This window comes from Homo sapiens, chromosome 2 (genome assembly GCF_000001405.40).
Source record: "Homo sapiens chromosome 2, GRCh38.p14 Primary Assembly".
Taxonomy (NCBI): domain Eukaryota; kingdom Metazoa; phylum Chordata; class Mammalia; order Primates; family Hominidae; genus Homo; species Homo sapiens.
Window position 1 is genome coordinate 153,887,638 of NC_000002.12, and position 17,549 is coordinate 153,905,186.

The following is a 17,549-nucleotide window of genomic DNA, read 5'->3' on the forward strand; positions in this document are numbered from 1 at the left end:
AAAAGTGCATCTAGCTGAGAACAAGGTTGATATCTTCTATTTGGGAATTTCCAACATCACCGCTGATTTTTGTTAGGTGTTCTGTGTTAAGTGACAGCCATCTTGCATTTCCCCCTTAGTTATTTGATCTGCTTTGACTATGTTGTTTTTCTTGTGGAAGAGGCTTAGAGAAATTGAAAGATCAATGCTTTTTGTGTGTGTAAAATAGAGAACATTTTAAAACATTGCCATCCCACCCTTCATTTCTGAATGAAAAAGATGAAACATTGTATATTTCTTATTCTTTAAAGACACAGATTTTATTTTCGGTATGTGATATCTAGTTTTTAATGATTTTTATACATGCTTATTTGGAGACTTTCTGCTTTTTTAATGTGGAAGAAAGCATAATTTGAAATAACAAATTGTAATTGATTTCCCATTTAGAAATATTTGAATTCCACTTCTCTTTTCTTATCAAGTGAGGAGAATATGTTTTGAGCACTGGTATTTTGTCATTTCCTTCATAATAACTTGTGCAAATGATAATTATACATAAATTAATAAACTGCTGGTGGGAATTTAATGATGCATCATACTGTTTTTGATTTATTTCCAAATCATTTGCAGAATGTTGAAATGTACAAGGACTAAGTTTTAAATGTAACCTACAACTTCCTCAGCTCCAAGAACATATTCAGTAAAATAAAATAGTTATTTTTAAAAATGGTGGTACAGAAATAAATTGCATTATGTTTTGTGAGCTTATTATATGAGGACATTATAGGTTATTAAATAGTATTGTATTTATCTGTGTTTAAAAAATGTTTCATATTGCAAGTAAATAAATTATTTTTAAAACCTATTAGAACTTTTGCCATGTGATTCAAGCAATTTTCTAGTGCTGCCTAAAATAATGTTGGGTCCTCATTTGCATTTCCTTAGTGCTCCTGTTTCATTCCATCTTGAAGTTTTGTGTGCCACTTGAAAATACTTTAAAAGTAATTAAAAATAAAATTTTGTTACAAGCTTCAATAACTTTGTAAACAATTTCTACATAAAATATATTTAAAATCAAGTACTAACTCCTGCCAATTCTGGGGACCATGCATGAGGTTAACCATTTTCAACCAAGGTTACATGTACTCACAGACAGACAATTGATTCATTTTCTTGTATTATTGCATCTATCTGCCAACATATTACACCAATTATAATTATTTTATTTATAGAGTGATAGTCAATTGATAATTAATCCTGTAAGTTCACTTTCAGAACAGTCTTCATTTTATTCAACACCAAGCACCTTGGAAGTTAGTAAGTCACAAAAGATGTTTTCCATAGTTATAAAATATTTAGCAATATGATTAATTTTACAGTGTATTCTTCACGAGCATGAAATCAAAGATACACTGTTTCCTAGCACAGGGCAGAGTTGATGCAAACTACCTGTGTGTGTGCTTTTCTGCAAAGCGCTCCTATGGAAAGTTGATTTTTCATTTTTCTAAGTTTCCTGGCAGTTTTTAAGTGTGGTCCTCCACGATCTTGGCCTTGGACACCACTAAAACTAAGTATAAATTATTGATCTTATTTCATAATTCAGATTCATTCTTGACTTTCAGTTCCTTCATTAACTCTAGAGTTTATTTTGACCTGATATTAGATCAAATTAAATTTTGCCAGGTGGATTAAAAAAAAATGCTCCTTATCCCAAACCTTACGTTCAGTATAACTTTCTTGTTAGGTTCTAATCAGTTTTAAGTTTTTAACCACCCTCAAAGCCTTCCTGACACTCTTTTATCCTTCCTCACCCCACACTAACACACTCTAAAACTACTACATGTAGTGGGAGTTACTTTCTGTCTGTTTGCTTTTTATAAAATCTCATATGTATTTATTACTTACCATTGAAAAATTTTATTATGTGATTTTAATCATGTTGTATTATATGCACTTGCCATTTTACTATAATTCACTAAATACCGATGCACTTTTATTTGGCCAGAGGCCTACATCTCACAGTAACTGGGTATATAAAATTGTGGGCCAGTAAAATGCTGCTACATTTTAATATAGAAATGACTGTACTTTATTGATGCATGAAATGATTCCTGCTTAAGCAGTCAGTATACATAATCAATTAATAAATGTAGCTAGTGATTTTGAGATCTACATAGTTTAAGGCACTATGTAAATGCAAGATCAGGCACTTCCAATTTATTGAGATACATACTTACCAGTGGGTTTTCAGCAGTGGGTTCATGCTCATGGCATGCAATTATTGAATGCTTTTTGCAATTATAAAACCCTGGGGGTCCACTGGCCAAAATTTAGTTTTGTGGGTGTGTCTGCACTTCTGCTTGCTTCCTGTGAAGTGTCTGCCCTACTGAAGTCTCATACTATCAAGATAATTGTTCTCTCATTCTTGCTTCTGAGAATTATTTTCTCAATCAGGAAAGAGTAACACCTGCGAAATAGAGCTACATGTTTTCATGAGGCTATTCTATCAAGAAAGGATGTCTTTGTAACATAAACAAACACAAAAATCATCTGTCTATATGAACAGTGTTCCAAATGTATGAATCATGAATTACAAATGTATAAATTACATGTTGTTATTTTGTAGAATTTTTAGTTTTCCTTTTCTGTGTTTTAGTAAATGTGTTCATATTATGTTATTTATGGTTGTATTTTATGGGAAAATATGTGCCTCATTCATTCACTTATCACTGTGCAGGGGTTCAAGGACAGGGAGTTTTGTTAGTATCGACAGTTGTGATCTCATGATATACTTGGCTGATTGCCATCAAACCAGTCACTCAGGGGACTTAAGAATTCTGATCTCATACACAATGTACTTGGTCTCAGGGATAAAATTCACACTGCACCCCAACTTAAAACTTTTTCCCGTGTTGCTTTCTCAATCCAGGTTCACACCTTCTATTTATTAGAAATGGTATGAGTTCCTGCCTTTTAGCTGACACTTTTATCTGGGTCTCCCTCTGTAAGGCTAAATGCCCTTGTTAGAATGGCACAACAACAACAGCAACAAAAACAGAAGAGAAAACAAAAGGAAAGGAAAGGAGCTTGTATCCCCAGACTCATGCTGTGTGGTGGCTGGTTTGTTTCTTCTTTCTTCAGCACATCACTCCTGTGACATGCTGTGCCTCAGACTGCTTGACTGACCTTGCCGTTTAGAGCTGTTAAACCTGAATAGAGCAGAGCTTTTCTTTTCCCTTCCAGTAGGTCTCAGGAGTGAGATCTGGTCACTGGCATTTATTCTCTGACCCTTAACTGTGGTTCCCCTTGAAATGGAGCTAATCAAGGTGTTGTTCCACTTATTTATTGATGCTCATGAAGCATTCATTGTTGGTACATATAATTTTGCCTATTCCTATACTTGAATAAATTCTTTCTTCTACCTAAACTATGGATGTATGTCTACATCTCTTTGCTATTTGTAGATTAGAAAATCCAGAAAGGCAGTCTAACAGAATTCTTTTTGTGCTGTACCTAGCAAAATGCTCTACACAATTAAGTCCTTACTGCATGCATTTAGCTACATGCATTTAATTAGATTGCATATGTACAGATAGGTCCCTTGGGCCTTCCAGAGCAGTAGAGGCTACTTTGCAAAATGATGCAGGCCAAAAAGGATTTAGGTCAGTCAAATTTTTATCTGGCTTTCCCAGTAGGATAGTTGAAACTGCCTTTCTACTTGCTATAAGAATGTCTTCCATGTGACTTTTTTTTTCTTCTCAAATTCCACTGTTAGCTAGTCAGAGATTGTGCACTTTATATGCTTCTTGTCAAACTCATTTGGTATTTGAAATCACAACGCCTTTATGATTTTCACCCAAGTGGCTTCAGAGTTCTGCCACTTATGTCATTTATAAGAATTTGCCTGGAAATTGTTTCCTTTGCAGGAGACATAAGTCACAGGGTTTAAAATTGAAAAGGATCTCAAGGGCTGATTCTGTCACTCCTGCTAGCCCTCAGTCAAGGTTGTGCTTAATCTAAACCCAAGACTAATATGTTTCTCTAAAATAAAACTATGCCTCATCATTGGTTTGTTAAATACTCTACATTGTCAATAGAGGGATCTCTGAATGAGCATGTAACTCCTGGGTGTTAAAAACCTTCAAAAGCTCTACAGGTTAAATTTCAAATTCTTTAGCATATCATTCAAGGTCCTTCTTAGAGATCTATTCCAAATGACCTTTTTTGGCCTTGCATCTCACTTTTTACCCCCTCTTAATCTACTTTCAGGATTCGCTGAATTGATTCTCTGTTACCTGGACTTATCATAGAAGTCCATGATTGTTTCTTTGCTCACGTTGCTTTGCAGCCTTGAATTACCTAGATGCTCATTTCAAAGATCAGCTCACACGAGCAAAACCTTGAAGGATTTCTCCAAATCCCCAAGGCAAAATTATTCTATTTTCTGTGTTCCCATAGAACCTTGTTCCTATTGCTGTTGCTAACTTTCAACCTGTTATCATAGTGGTGCCCTCACATGCCTCCCATTTTAGATGAGAAGCTTTTTCACAATGGAGACATCACATTTCTCATTGTTCCTCTGAGACCTACCAAAGTCCATAATACAACCATTCATTCTATAAATGTCTTGAAAAATTGTTAAATATTGATGCAGTAGGATAAAGGGCTATGAATTTAATGATGCTCTATTGAATGAATCTTTGTGACATGCCTTGTATCTTTTTCTGGAATATAATGAGGATATAAAAATATTAACATAATCTCTTGCAATGATAATCTCTACAAGTTTATAAAAATCATGGGTCCAAGATTATGCTAAAAATAAAACCCATTTCTTCCATCCCATGTTTATAGCACACTTCTAGTTGGACCGTTATTTGAAAGGCCCCAGATTTAAAGTTAGGTTTAAAGATGTTCTAAAATGTCTTCACTTAAAAAACAAAAAGACAAAATTAATATCTAAGCAATCTTTAATTTCTAGAAATTTATTTTTACAGTGTAGTATAAGCTCTCCTGGTACTGTTAAAGCTATTTCTTTACTTATAATTTTAAAAATAACTTTTCACATTACTAAAAACAAACTACTAAACATTTTTCAATGAAATATAAATTTCTTTATTTGGGTCATTTTTAATGTATCCTAATTTTCCAACTGTTAATTCTTTCCATTTCTGTCCTCTGTCTTCATTTTAAATATGATTCGACATGTGAACCCTAATGTATGCTAGCCAAATACTCATTAAACCCATGACAAAAACATTCTTTAATTTTATCTGCAAATTCTTAGATAATGTGTATCATTTAGGAATTGTGCTCAGTGTGTATCCAGAGTGGCCTAAAGAAATTGGTACTTTATTTTTCCCTCACAAGATATGAAGTCTTGATGTTGGTAGTCTGCTAAGATGACCTCTGTAATGTTACCAGAGATCTTGGATTCTTGCATTCATTCTAGGATTCTTGTACTCAAAATAGCTGTCAGGGTTCCAATCATTATAACTACATTTTGAACAGGCGAAGGTCAAAGAGCATAAATGTGCCAATAGCAGCTAAGAAAGGAGAGATTAGACACTGGCGAGGCACCTTTCAGGTTCAACCACATTCGTCAAAAAATCATGTTTTCTTAACTTTTGGAAAATTGATTTTGTTTCTTACTTATGTTGCAACTTTGTACTATTTTCCAGCTCTTTTAATGTTGAAGTTCTGCCTAACTTATAGCTGTGTAATTAGTTCTTACCTATGCACTTTGTTGCTTTTGTTCACTTTCAGCTTTTAAGCTAGTATTTTTTTGGATTATAACATGATATGTATTTTTTGTGGAATATTTGGAAAATTAGAAAAAATGTAAAAAAGAATATGAAAATTACTTACATTTTTACACCATTTAGACGTAACAATGTTAACATTTCACTGTATAGTGAATTGTTATACTGAATTTATATACATATATAGGCACATGTATTTACATATATGTAAATTATGTCATTATTTACAAAACAACTTTATTCTCCATATTATTTTAGAAATTATTGATATTGTTTTGAAGATTAGATTTTGGAATATAAATAAATATTATTTGGGACATTATTTTTATGACTACATGGCATTTCATCATATGGACAAGCCATAATTTACTTAGTTGATCCCTAATTGTTGCTTTTATGGATTTAAAATTGTAGCATTATAAATGACACGGATGAAGTACTTTGAACGTGAAATTTTGCCTGTATATCTTATTATGTCTTAGAATAACTTGATGGAAGTGGAATGGGTCAAAAAGTAAGGATATGCAAAGGAAAAGGCAGCATTTCTTCAGAAACTAGGAAATAATGAAGCAAAAGGTATAAATTATGCCATGCTTTATTGTGTGTTTACTGGGAATGGAGTGCAGTGAATAAAGCAGAAGTGTTCCAGTTTTCATCCCAGAAGACAGAAGAGCCAATATTTTCTCCTGTTTCTTCAGGTAGCGAGGGGCCAGTGGTGAAGGAGCTGTCATTGAACACTCTTCACGTTGGCTGGTGACTGCTTGGAACAATCATTTTGCCACTTCTTTAAACATTCAATGAAAAAAAATGAAACAAAGGGAACAAAGAATTGACAGACAACCCACTTGAATCTCTCGAGACCCCACTTGAGAACCCACAGGTCTCTGGCCTCTCCTCAACTGGTTGAATAAAAAGGAGGAATGGATGATAGAGTATTCAGTTAGGAAATGCAACAACATGGCACCTAACCATGATGTAGAGACTGGATATGGAATTACGCAGTGATATAAATTGGCTGATGAAGTACAGAGAGGTTATGTTTAAATATTGGTTGTGTACAAATCAGGGGATTCTGATTTGTCATGCCTGTGATCGAAAATATCATGAGATCATTATGAAGTAGTATTTACAATAAGAAAATATGCAAGGGAGTTAGTGGCCTTGAAGGTCAAATTAAAAGAGAGAGAGAGATGGGGGTGACAGGGAGGGAGGAAAAGAGGGAGGACATACTAGGGATGACTTTTGAAGTTATAGATTAATCAGTTTGCTTTGATATTTATGAAAATAATAAGACAAAATGATGATTGATTTCCATACACTTCTAAGAGCAGAAAAAATGGGGTAACAGCCAACATGTCTGAGAGAAGTAAATAACTCAGAGTTAATGTAATTTTCTTCTCTAACACAATAACAGAACTTAAATATGAGAGGACAAAAAGTTCATATATCTTTACTTCGGTAAGGTTTAGTTTTTGTCTGACATGCTGTTCTGATCAACCAGCAAAGAATATGTAGTCTTGTGTAAAGGGAGGCATAGCTTGTTACTTGTCCCTGAATCAGTGACCTGGTAGAGCAAACAAAGTAAGACTAAAAGTGTTTATTGGGGACTTGTACTGAATAATATTTGTAATAATCTCCATAATTTAATAATACAAAATGTGGAATCTACAGACTAGGAAAATTGCTAAATCTATGGGAATTTGCAGGAATCTAAAGTGAATATGGGAATTAAAAAAGAGGGACTGAAATAAGTTGGCTGTGTATGAGAACCATTGATTAAAATGGCATTAAAAATGGTAATATCTAGTGTTGCTGAGACGTTTTGACACATTGTTGCTATAAATTGGTGATGAGACCTGGAATAGTTGTTTGTATTGTTCAGGGGGATTTGTAGTGTTTCCTGCCTTAATTACATCCCTTATCCTGTAATGACCATTTTTTTCTATGTTCTGAGTTTCAAGATTGTAACACATCTTCCTCTATTTGTAAGCATTTTTCTTTTTTTAGCTCAACAAAATGAATAATTATTTTACTAAAGTTGCTTTGTTTCCATGCCTTTCCGTATAAACAATTTTTCATTTCAGTGTTACCTTTTTGTGTAATCTTTTAGAAGACATTTTGAAAGGTAATTAAACTCAACATGTAGAATACCTAGAGTGCATACAACTGAAATGAAGGCATGACCATATGCAGAACTAGGGTCAAGTTGGGGCATCAGCAGGCAACAAACACTTTGTCATGACTATAACTGGCTGCAGTAATTGTAAAATATAACCTGATTTGGAAGATGGTCAAATAGGAAAGTTGGGTACATCAGTTTCATAAAATATGGTTTAACAAGTTTTAACAGTCTCATGCTACTTGACCCAGAAATCCCAGTTCTGGGCATTTTATCCTAAGGAAACAATCACGCTGTGGCAGAAGATATATGCACAAGGACCTTCACAGTAACTTCTTTTTGCCACAAATATTTGATGATAATTTATATTCAGAAAATAAGTAAATGATGGCATGCCATAGCAACAGGATATTAATCAGTGATCTTGCAGTGTAATGATAAAAAAAGATATTGTCACACAAGAAATTCACAATTAAGTAAAAAGAGAATATAATCATAAAATAGTTTGTATGATATAATTATTTAAATAATAGTCTGCGAGTAAGAACAGGATAGTTGTTTCTGGAATTAAGGATGATTTTATATTTTTATGTTTTTTCCTAAATTAAAAAAAACTTGCCACTTTCGATTTAGAAAACTAATTGTATAAGGAAAAACCACTTATATTGCTAATCTTTAAAGACTGATAACCTTTTGTCTTTTTTCTTTAAGTCCTGACTACTTTCACTTATTTTTTGATTACCATTTTATTATTTAACTTTACATTGCTTAATTTTCTGACTATAATATAATGTTGTTTGTGTGATTTATTTTAAAACTCTAAAGTTGGTTTTACATTTGTTCTCATTCTCCTGTATTTTATATATTTAATAGGTATATATCAATGTGTAAATTATGAATAAATATATCTTTCATTTAATCTGAATATATAAATATTAAATATATATGAAGATGTAAATTGTATATACATAAACACTAAATGATATATAGTATGTAAGCTATCACTCTGGATTTCTCACTATACTAATTATTCAAAAACATTTATGATTTTGAATTATTTTTTAACCTTTACTTTTTTTCTGATTTATTTATTTTTAACTTTTAGCTTCAAGGGTATGTGTGCAGATTTGTTATATAGGCTAATTGTGTGTTACAGGGGTTTGGTGTACAGATTATATTGTCACCCAGGTAATAAGCATAGTACCCGATAGGTAGTTTTTTGATCCTCACCTTCTTCCTACCTTTCAGCTTCAAGTAGGACCCAGTGTCTGTTGTTCTCTTCTTAAAAATACTTTCTCGATATATGTTTGAATATTATTCTGTAATTCCTAAATATAAATGTCTAGATTAAAATAAAACCTTTTATTTTTATTTTTACCTTGTTGCATAATTTTAAATTTTGACATACTTTCAAATGTACAGAAAATTTATAAGAATTGTGTTTAAGAATACCTTTTGTTCAGATTCAACAGTTGTTTACAATTTTGCCTCTTTTGCTTCATTTCTGTCTGTGCTTTCTCTCTATGTGCTCATGTGTGCATGCACACGTGTAGACACACCACATTTTTTTTCCTGAATCATTTGAGAATCAGTTGCAGACATCATGCTTCCTTAACTGAAGTGTTTAAGTGTACATTTCCTAAGAAAAAGAATATTGCCCTCTATAACCGGTGTGTAATTTTTAATGCAATATTCACAATATATTACTTGTATTGTGTAACTCCCAGTATATTTCTAGGATCCCAGGTGTATTTTGTTGTCTTATCATTAAAAGTCCTTTTATCTGGAACATTTCCTCAGTCTAATTACTTGGTCATTATAAGAGTTCAGATCAGATATGGAGCGCAATATTCTCAATTTGGCTTTACTGAATGTTTCCTAATGGTTAATTCTGTTTTGCATTTTTGACAGGCATACCACAAAAGTGATGTTGTGTTCTTCTCAAGTGCATCATACTTGGAGGCATGTCGTATTTGTCTGATTATTGATGATGTTGTCTTTGATCAATTTGTTAAGGTGGTCTCTGCCAAGTTTCTCCACTACTAGTTACTATTTTCCCCATTGTAATTAATAAGTAATTTGTGGGAAGATACTTTTAGACTGGAAATACCATGTTTGTCATCACACTTTCATGCGCTGGTGCTGATCCACTAATGTTTTCTTTACTGATTCAGGTACCTAAAATATTATGGTGGTTTTCTAACTCCATCAGTCCATCTATACTTTTTAGTTGACATTATACTCGAAGAAGGAGTTTTCCCTTCTTAATTTCATACTTTATTATATTTTCCTTAATACAGTTTAATCCATTACAATAATTATTTATTTCCCAGTTGTCCCAGATTAAACCAGTAAAAGCCTCTTGAAGCTAGGACCTGTGTCCTTTTGACATATTCCCATCATTTTATAAATGCCTTACTTGCTTTTCTTCCAGAAAAAAATGCCACCTCAAATGTCATGTATTTTTAAGTCTTCTCTCTGTGTCCATGTTCTAATATGCCAGAATAGTTTTTCAGAATTTTCATAGGTTGAGTGGATTTTTTGTGAGTGATTTTCATGTCACTGTTAGGAATTCTGGTATCCTTTACCTTTTTCACAGTTTTTCTGGACCCCATATATCTCTGTATATAGTGGGAGCTTGAAAGATAGCTCTGTTAGAAATTGGTGTCTAATTTTCTGTTTACATACAATCTGACATGTTTATTATTCTCCAGCTTCCAATTGTGCCGAAGGACTTGGATTTGTGTGTTTTAATTTGTTTTTTTAGGTGTATATATTTTTTAGGATATGTGAACAGTTTCAGATTTAGGTGGCTCCTACTACCTGAGTTCCTCAGAATGCCAGTCCATATTTTTATGCATTCTGCAAAATATATTGATATTTGAAGACAATTGCAATATGCCATTGTTTAACCAAAATTTATGGATTGTATAGCTTTACCTTTAGCTGTTAGTGTTATCTTAATCCAGTTTATCCAATTAAATTGAAGTGTTTAATGTATCATAATTATTTTATTACATAGTATGCCTATCAATCCAGGAAATAGCTCTCTGAAAGGCATGTCCATGGTAAATGTAAAATTATTATATGAGGTCTCATTCTTTCACTTGATGATGTACTAATCAATTGTTTGTAATATTTTTCCCTTAGCTATGAAAATTATCAAATATATATTTAAAAAATAAAAAATATTCAAACCCACAAAATTTTAAAACATATATAGATTGAAATAAGATAACCAATCAATAGCATGTGATTATAGGAATCTAGTGAAATGTAGTATTGTAAGTGGTTATTTCAATTGACAAAATACAGTTTTTGAGAATAATAAAGGTAAATTCTTCCTCCAGTTGCACAGCAAAAAAAAAAAAAAAAAAATGATGGCAATTCTTAATAAAGGAGGGCTTGGATCTGGTGGAAAACACTCCAGTATTTAAAATTGTCAGAGTAAAAGATGGTTTGTAAAAGTAGGAAGTAGATGAGGGGCAACCATTTTTCTGTTCCATACCTGAGTCTAGCCTTATAAAAATCTTCACTTTTTCAAAAAACCTACATATAAGGATTTTTTATGAGAAATCTTCTGCTTTTGAATATTATGTAATATTTTAAAAACCATGGTGTGGGACAAACGAAATGTATCAGTAAGCCAGATGTGGTTTTCATGCCCCCAGTTTTCAATCTCTGCTCTGGATGCAACCTAGAAACTAGCAGATATTGCGGTAAGATGAAACCCAGGTCAGAAAAGCTGGTTTTGAGCCCAGGCTTGCCTCCTATTGGCTGTGTCAGATTGAGCAAGTGATGTAATTAGTGTTCACCTCAGTCTTCTTGTCTATGAGGATGAATATGCTAAAGTATGAAGAAATATAGAGATTTACTAATTGTTATAACTTTATAATTGTATTGAATTATATGTGAAGAAGAATATATATCTTTTATTATGTTTTAAGTTTTAAACTTAGAAAATACAAAGTTTCTTGGGCATTTCTTGATTTTTTTCCATTTAACTATAAACTTGCTAACTATATTTAGTTTTCTCTGTTTGAGAGGTTCTGTGTGAAACATTAGCAAAATCATTTATTCATGGGCCAGGTAGAGACCTGTGCAATCCCAATGTCTTTAACATACTAGAGGAAGATAAATTAGATTTTATATTCAAAATGCTTGGTCTGAATATTGAACTGTTGATTTGGTTACAGTTGGTTTTGGTGAACACAAAAGCACAACCTCTGTATTATTTAACTGCTATTTCTGCTTAGTACCATCAAGACCCAGATCTCTCAGCAGAAATTCTGTTTGTTGCTGAGAACTTAATATTCCTTTAAAGATGTTTGGTACTTAAGGGGATTTTTATTTATATTGTTCATAGTCTGTCTGATCTGTCTGAAAGAACACACTGTATTTTTGAAGGGAGATATATACATATATATATATATATATATTTTTTTTTTTTTTTTTTGAGATGGAGTCTCATTCTGTCTCCCAGGCTGGAGTGCAGTGGCACGATCTCATCTCACTGCAACCTCCGCCTCCTGGGTTCAAGTGATGGTCCTGCCTCAGCCTCCCGAGTAGCTGGGACTACAGGCACTCACTACCATGCCTGGCTAATTTTTGTATTTTTAGTAAAGACAGGGTTTCGCCATGTTGGCCAGACTGATATTTTCATTAGGTTGTATTTTATTATATGTCTTTGAACAGTTCTTTTATAACACCGTATATACTCCGTAGTGTAAAACCCATTTAATTTGAAATATTTTGAGATTCAAAATCAATATGCTCTTTCAAAACCCTACTCTAAAACAAATTAATTAATAATGCTTGATTAAATCACTTTCTCCTCATAATCACATTGATATTCTGAAACACAGAGAATGGAACTGTTTGTGTATTTTTGTGGGGTATGCAGGTCGTGTGCCTGCATTTTTCTCAGTGCATGGATTTCAATTAGAATTTAAATGCAGTTACAAAGTGAATTGGTGCAACTCTCTGGATAAATCAAGCCAAATTCTTTTCTAACTCAGTGATCCTCATATGTCAGATAATAGTACCTTTTAAAAACTTGAAATATTTGAATAATCACCTCAACTCTCCACGTATATTTACTTATGAACATCTCATATTTTTGAATTACTTTTATGCCATTCTGCCAATATTCTGGGGGGCACTGTGTTTCTTGCATATAATATGAAGCTAGTATGCAGACTTCTCTTACCTCTTTCTTCAAAGTGTTCTCCTTGACTGATGTTTTGGAATATTTGCATATAGTTGGGAATACTTCTGTTCATCAGCCCATTATACTTTGGTAGATATATGGTCTACATTTTGTAAAACCTATTTAAGCACGTTAAAGTATATAGTGTTTAAGTGTGTGTTGGTCTGTATTAGTTTTTCTGTGATCTTGACAAATTGTTTACTCTTTTGGATTTTTTCTTCCTCCACAGATGCATTTTTGTAGAAGCATTTTGAGGATGAATGTTTGCAAATCATTTTGAAATTGCCAAGTGCCACATACAGTAAGTAATATTTTTATTTTTCTACTCAATTGCAGTCATGTTCGATTAATTTGGCAGACAGTCATGAAAGAACCCATTTCTATTTACAGTCTTTGATATTGTCAACATTGTTAAAGATAAGAAGGTTGTATGTGTGCAGCATTATTTCTGGGGTCTTTATTCTGTTCCATTGTTCTGTGTGTCTCTTTTTGTATCAGTGCCTTGCAGTTTTGGTTACTACAGCCCTGTGGTATAGTTTGAAGTCGGGTAATGTGATACCTCTAGTTTTTTCTTTATGCTTAAGATTGCCTTGGCTATTTTGGCTCTTTTTGGTTTATGAATTATAAAATAGTTTTTCCTAATTATATGAACAATATCGTTTGCAGTTTGATAGGAATAGTATTGAATCTGTAAATTGCTTTGGACGTCATGACCATTTTATCAATCTTGATTCTTCCTGTCCATGAGCATGGGATGTTTTTCTATTTGTGTCATGTCTAATTTCTTTGACCAGTGTTTTGTTGAGAACTTTCTCCTCCTTGGTTAGCTGTATTCCTAGGTATTTTATTCTTTTGGGGGTTACTGTGAGTGGGATTGTGTTCTCGTTTTGCTGTCAGGCTAGAAATTGTTGTTGTAGAGAAATATACCTCTGCCCTGATGAAGTGTTCTGGCCAACACTACCCATCAGAGTAAATGAGTATTTTGTGACTGAATTTCAAATTTAAAAAAATAAGAATTGCCTTATATTCAGTGTCAATAGAACCAATCAGCAACCCAAAATGAGTTGCCTTGAACAAAATGCTATTTGATTAGAGAAAACTTAAAAATATATAACAGCTCCTCCCCTAATGGCAGATATAATACCTTACTCTTCTATTATACTTTTCAGCATTTGCAGTGGCTGACCACAGCCTTTTCTTGCACTCCTTTTTAGTTGCTTTTTGCAGTGAAGAAGAGATTGCAATGAAGGGTTGAGCTTGACTTACCATTCTCTTCCCTCTTTATTATCTTCAGATGTGTAGTGTTCATAGTACTATCCTTTACATCACACTGGCCACATTGATGCTTTCCCTTTTGGACTCTGGTGATCTTCAAATTCTTTCACGTTAGCCATCCATTGGTCCTAACCCCTGTACACTTTATTTCTTGAAACAAATCATCAGCAACATTTTATCTGGGGACATTTTCAGAATTACTAGTATTTAAAAGATTATTGCTCTAAAATTGAATGGATTAAATCGTTCATGCTCCCACACTACTTTTGGTTTTGAGACTGAAGGATTTACAGAGGGATGAGAATAAGAGATGAAGTCTCCATTTCTAGATTTGACCTCTGGAAGACAAAGCTAGTGATTTTGTTTAGTAATTTTATTTCCTTTGGTTCAATTAATAGTCCATGCTCCTAAATGTGAGAGGTACTGTGTTAGTAAGGACTAGAGTAAGTGGGAGAGAAAGACAAAAAGAACTCTCAAGGAAACTTTGTCATTAGTTTGAGGAAACTATTTTTCCTCAAACTAGGAAAAAGGTATTTTTAAATGTTATTCTGGTGATATCTTCAAACTGGATTGCAGTTGGAAGACTTGTTGCAAAAAGATCAATTTTTAAGCATTTGTAGAGGGATAAGAATGAAGGGATGAGGGCAAGACCTAAGGTCATAGCAGTGGGGATGGACTGGCAGGGGTTGGAGCATGTGAGATTTATTTGGAAGTAAACAGGTTCAGGGAGTAATAGTAATAATTAATGCTTGTGCAGGATTCACTGAGTACCAGGGTTGTTTTAAATGTTAATGACTAATGTCATCCCCATTTTGTGCAAGAGGAAACTGAGAGAGGCATCATTTAAGCAAATTGTCCCAGGTCACAAAAGTAAAACATACCATGCCTGACATTTGGGGCCATTTAGTCAAGCTCCAGAGTCATTGCAGTTTACCAGTGTACCATCATTTATCTAAAAAAATAACTGAAGCTTCCAGGATTACTGAGCTGGAAAATGATGTTGCCAATAATCAGAGAAACATATTTTGTTTACAGAGTTTACCCTTTCTTTAGATAGGTTTTTGGATAGCCAGAAAAATCTTGACCTTTAGGGAGAAATGTACCTTATGGTTAGTGATAAATCTCTTGTATATATTCACTTGTTGGGCAATAGCAACAGTAATTTATTATATTATTCAATTATAAGTTACGATAGTAAACATGTCATCTTAATCTGATTTGTCTTCCTTCCTTAGTAGAACTTAAAAATGAAACAAGGATAGAGTGGTAAAAAAAAAGATTTTGTATCTTGGGTCCGTAAAAGAACGCATTTTAAAGTTAGTTTACCGATCATGCAAAACTAATTTTGACGAGGGAAAAACGTAACACTCAGCATATGGAGTATCTCTTTTTCTATTAGGTTAATGTAAAAGTAATTGCATTTTTGCCATTACTTTGCAAAAACTGCAATTACTTTTGCATCAACCTAATATACTGGAGAAGTAGAATAATATACTGCTTAAGACCATGGTCTCCAGGACCATTCTGCTTCATTGATTCATGTTCCAAGTAAGGCCCATTTGCTGTGTGACTTTGTGTCAATTATTGATGCTCTCTGTGCGTCAGCCTCTGTACCTTCAAAATGTGTTATTAATAGTACTGTGTCTTCTGGATATTGTAAAGCTTAAATGAGATAAATCACCTAAATGGCTCTTGGTAGCAGCGAATTTTAAATAAAAGTTATGTTTATTAAAATTTATCTCAGGTAACAGTTTTCTATTTTTCAATTTCACCTACATAATTATTACTCTTTTAAGCTTTTTGCTTTGAATTTTTACGCATTAAGGAGACAGAGCAATGATTTTCACAAGCAAAGACCCATGTAACCATCCCACAGGTCAAGAAATAGAACAATTGCTGCATCTCCAATCCTACTTTTTCTGCCTGCCAGCCATTACCTCCTTTCCATCAGTTTCCCGTGGATGACATTATTCCTGATATTTGTGGGAATTACTTCCTTGCTTTTCATTATAGTTTTAACTTTAAATAATGTATCCTTATATGCAAAATATTGGTTTAGCCTGATTTTTAAATTAATGTACATAATATTCATATGACACACATTCTTCAGTGTATGGTGTCCTTTTCTGAATGTATGTTTGTTTTTAAGTTTCTTTAATGTTTTTGTGTGGTTCATTAATTTTCATTGCTATATAGTATTCCATTGTATAGAAATACTACAGAATATTTATTCATTGTATTGTTGATGGACATTTGTGCTCTTTCTAGGTTTGGGCCATTACCCAAATGTAATGCTGCCATAAACATTCTTTTAAATGTGTTTTTGCTAAATATGTACATATATTTCTCTTGAATATATACTTAGCAATGGAATTTCTTAGTCATATTGCATGCAATCTTTCAACTTTAGTAGATACTACCAGACAGTATTCCAAAGTAACTATACTAATTTCACTTCATTCATTAGTGTGTAAGAGTTTCCATTGTTTCATCTTTACCAAAGATTAGTATAATCATTTCTTTTAATTTTAGCCATTCTGGTGAGAGTTTGGTTTACATTTTCTTGTTGATTAATATGATTATGTCATGTAGCTTAATAGCCATGAACATATTATTGTCTATAAATTTCCTGTTCATATGTGTATTTTTCTATTGTGTTGATTTTTAAAATTGTTAATATTCACAAGTTAGTTACACTAGATTAAGAGCCTCCCATCAGTTAAATATGCTGCAAAGTTCTCCTTTTCTATGATTTGGTTTTTCAATTTCTTAATGAGGTTTTTTTGATGTTCCTAATTTTAATTTTAATCATTATATCACCTCATTATGTTTATATCTTTCCACTTGCCTTCATTTTTGTGAGTGATGTGAGGTAGAAGTCAAGTTCTAGATATCCAGTTGTTATAGAATCATACTGGACAATTCTCTCCTTCGCCCACTGTTCTTTAATGTCATATTTACTATAAATTAAATTTCTATATATGTCTGGGTCTTTTAGGAGCCAACTTCTATTTAATTGGATTATTAGTCTCTTCTTACCACTTATAACACTATTTTAACTATGGCTACTTTTTAAATATTCTTAATATCTATTAAAACAAGTTCTTCTACCACATGTTATTCAAAGGCATGTTGACTTTGCCTTCTTTCATGTAAATTTTAGAATTACTTTGTCAAGTTAACAAGAATAATTGTTTAGATTTTA

The 17,549-nt window shown here is 32.9% G+C and overlaps 1 protein-coding gene across 18 annotated transcripts in view, besides 1 other annotated feature; it reads left to right on the plus strand.

The window, feature by feature from the left end:
• The window catches only part of GALNT13 (polypeptide N-acetylgalactosaminyltransferase 13), a 1,388,282-nt gene that overhangs the window by 819,345 nt on the left and 551,388 nt on the right, over positions 1-17,549 (plus strand). For all 18 annotated transcript variants that reach the window (XR_007069045.1, NM_001422882.1, NM_001422883.1 and 15 more), the window contains one exon: positions 13,299-13,370. The gene's annotated coding sequence lies outside the window, so the exon portion shown is untranslated. The remainder of the gene's footprint in view (positions 1-13,298; positions 13,371-17,549) is intronic.
• Positions 2,856-3,417: an enhancer, noted in NCBI's record as "OCT4-NANOG hESC enhancer chr2:154747006-154747567 (GRCh37/hg19 assembly coordinates)". NCBI's record gives its function as "activates a minimal SCP1, AML or CMV promoter by ChIP-STARR-seq in primed H9 embryonic stem cells {active_cell/tissue: H9 hESC(primed)}" and the evidence as "EXISTENCE:reporter gene assay evidence [ECO:0000049][PMID:30033119]".